The sequence below is a fragment of the Homo sapiens genome, chromosome 12 (assembly GCF_000001405.40).
Source record: "Homo sapiens chromosome 12, GRCh38.p14 Primary Assembly".
In the NCBI taxonomy this organism is placed as follows: domain Eukaryota; kingdom Metazoa; phylum Chordata; class Mammalia; order Primates; family Hominidae; genus Homo; species Homo sapiens.
The window spans coordinates 90,881,347-90,885,198 of record NC_000012.12 but is presented as its reverse complement, the minus strand read 5'-3'; positions in this window follow the sequence as shown (position 1 = coordinate 90,885,198).

The window sequence follows — 3,852 nt, the reverse complement described above, 5'->3', positions numbered from 1 at the left end:
ATTCTTTTGAAAATGTTGACTTTGAGACATTTATTGGACAATCAGATGAGAATATTACTCAGCCATGTGGATTTACTAGTTTGGAGTTTAGGAGAAACCTGAAGCATAAAGGTGTACCTTTTGTACACGTTAGCATATATAATATATTTAAAGCTAGAAGACTGGATATAATGCAAATTGAACATTATAGAATCTACGAAAATGACTCAGTTGATGCCTTATTAGATATATTGGGGTTCAAGAGATGAGTGTATTTTGCAGCATAGCAGACTATGATTATAATAAAACTAAAAAAATTGACTTATGTAGGAAGTTGCATTTTAAAGAGAATTAGTGACTTTGATTTCAGCTATGTTACGTTTAGAAGACATAAGATAAATCTTATAAAAAATGTAGAGTAGGCAACTAGAGAAGAGGGAGCAGAAATTGGAAGAAAGAAAAGGAAAAAATGTAAAGATTTTGGTGTTCTCAGCCAAGAAATGATACCTGAAGTTAAAAAAAATAGGATATAATGTCATTTTATCAGCAGGATACAGTATGGTGAGAATTCCAGATTCATAACTGATTATGTTAGTCTGAATAATGGCGTCCCCCCAAATATATCCATAACCTAATCTCTGGGACATGTAAATTACCTCATGTGGCAAAAATAACTTTGCGGATATGATTAAGTTAGAGATCTTGAAATGGGGAGATTACCATAGATTATCTAGGTATGCTCTAAATAATACATGCACATTCATAAGAGGGAGGGAGGCAGATGGGAAATATATATATATATATATATATACACACATATATATGTGTGTGTATATGATATTTCTAGCACTTGTAAAGATTCCTTGAATAGTAATTTTTTATATTTAGATCTCTATTAAATTTTATTCTGTGTATATAAATGTACATAGTACAAATCTGAAAACTTTCATCAATAAGTTATCAATAGTTCCAAGAATGCTTATGGGAAGAGACTAAAATTTAATATATACAAGCATTGTAAAGAAGTACTTTAAATGAATTTCTATATAGAAAAATTAACCATAAAACAATATGAGAAGCTTGTAAATAGTGATGTTAACAGGAAAGTAGGAATCTGTCTTAACTAGAGATGCAACTGAAATATATCAACTGATGAAAAATGAAACCAATAATCAACATGTATTACATTTACTGCTTGCCTGTTACACACTTAAACACCTGATGGCTTGAGCTACACAATGAACAAGACATCATAGTTCCTCCATTTTTTTTACCAATAGTTTTAGGTTTACAGGAAAATTAAGAAGAATGTACAGAATGTCCCCATATACCCCTCATATATTTTTCCATATTATTGACATCTTACATTAGCATGGCACATTTGTAACAACGAATGAACCAGTCTTGATGTATTATTATTAAGTCCATATTTTTCAGATTTATTTAGTTTTACCCTCATGTCCTTTATTTGTTCCAGGGTCCCATATGACATTTAACTGTCATGTCTCCTTAGGCTCCTCTTGGCTATGAATATTTCTCAGATTTTCTTTATATTTTGATGACCTTGACAATTTTGAGGTGCACTGGAGAAGTGTTTTACAGAACGCACCTACAATAGGATATATGGAATTTGTCTGAACATCTTTCCATGCGTAGACTGAAGTCATGGGTTTAGGGGAGGAATACGGCAGAGGTAAATGTCTCTTTTTATCATATATCATATGTATAAAATGTCAACATGACTACTGATACTGTCCTCAATCACCTGGCTGAGGTTGTGTTTCGCAGGTTTCGTTGCTGTAAAGTTACTGTTCCACCACCTACCTTTCCATGATGTGTTATTTGGAAGGAAGTCACTATGCTCAGCCCATACTTAAGAAGTGGGAAGTTATGCTCAACCTTCATGTGTGTCTACATAAATTATGTGGATTTTTTTTTTTTTTTTTCGAGACGGAGTCTCTCACTGTTGCCCAGGCTCGAGTGCAGTGGCCAGATCTTGGCTCACTGCAAGCTCCGCCTCCTGGGTTCACGCCATTCTCCTGCCTCACCCTCCCGAGTAGCTAGGACTACAGGCGCCCGCCACCAAGCCTGGCTAATTTTTTTTTGTATTTTTAGTAGAGACGGGGTTTCACCGTGTTAGCCAGGATGGTCCCAATCTCCTCACCTCGTGATCCGCCCGCCTCGGCCTCCCAAAGTGCTGAGATTACAGGCATGAGCCACCGCACCCGGCCAATTATGTGGAATTTTTATGCATGGGAGATTTGCCTCTTCTCCCCGTTTATCACTTTATTCAATCATTTATTTTTTAATTTTATTTTTTTTAATTTTTAATTTTGGGGAGTACGTAGTAGGTATATATATTTCTGGGGTACGTGAGATGTTTTGATACAGGCAGGCAATATGAAATAAGGACATTATATGAAGAATGGGGTATTCATTCCCTCCAGTATTTATCCTTTGAGTTACAATCAACCCAATTACACTCTAAATTATTTTAAAATATACAATTAAGTTATTGACTATAGTCACTTGCTTGTGCTATAAAACAGTAGGTCTTATTCATTCTTTCTATTGTTTGTATCCATTAACTATCCCCACCTACTTCTTATTTGTGGGATTTAAAAAATCAAATCAATCATTTATTTAGATCAGTATGGACTCATGAATATTTATTTTATACTTTGGGTTATTATCCAATATTACTTTATTTATTCTGTTGCTCCAATTATTCCAGGTTTGGCCATTAGGAGTTCTTTCTGTTATCCCTTATGTCCCATTGACATTCTCCATCAATGTGTGTGTGTGAGTTATTACTTTTTGGTAATCCAAGGTGCTTCAGGGTCACCTTTCCCACCCTGGTTCTAGAATAACCAATTTCTCTGAGAAGCCATGCTTCCTTTTATCAGAGAATAGTATTAGATACTAAGATCTCTGTGCTAGGTGTGCTTGTTGCTACTTGGGCAATTTTTAAAGTACTTTCAGCTAACGGAACAAGGAAATATAGAAGTTTATTTTACCCTTGTGTATATACACATATCTGTAAGTATTTTCATAAGCAAACTGTGTCTATGTTAATCTAAGCATGAGTTTTTATTGATGTCTCCAACTGTAATCCTTCATTACATGGGCCTTTCTATCCTTCTCTTTTTCTTAAATTTAAATTCTCACTCCAACAGTGAGAAACCTGGCTCCCACCACTCACCCTCCATTTACTTATTTCTTCACTTCCAATATATATGTGTAGCAGTATCAGAATTGTAAACCTTGTATCCCATCCTACACTTTCTTAGCAAGCTTCTCAGGTGATTTTTGTATACATGAAAGTGATAGGGTGGGTCAACCCCATTGAATAATTAATTTCTGGTTTCAATTACATTCAATTTTTCTCCCATTATAAGATTAAAAAAATCATCTTAATTAGGACCACAATTTTCAAACTTTGTATTTTAAATATTATATATTAAATATTAAAATTAAATATTGTCTATTTACCTTTAATTTATAGACTTATCAGTAATAAAAGTAAATAACCATAGCAAAAAATCACAATAATAAATTTGTTTCCACATTTAATCTCATCTTGCTGATAATAAGTGATAGATTCCTCACTTTGAATGTAATTTAAGGTAACATCGTCCACCTCTGCAGGCTTTCCTTATTAATAATAGCAAATGTAATTCATTAGGACATATAAAAATGAAAACAGTTAACCGCCTACCAGAAGAAACACCTTAGTCAAGATTTAGGATGTAGGTAGCAGTGACCTACATAAACTAGCTTAAGGGGAAAAACAGAGTGGAGGTGGCTTAGATTAGAGCTTTCTAATGGGAACACAGAGGACAGAGGCAGGTCAGAGAAATATACAACAATGGG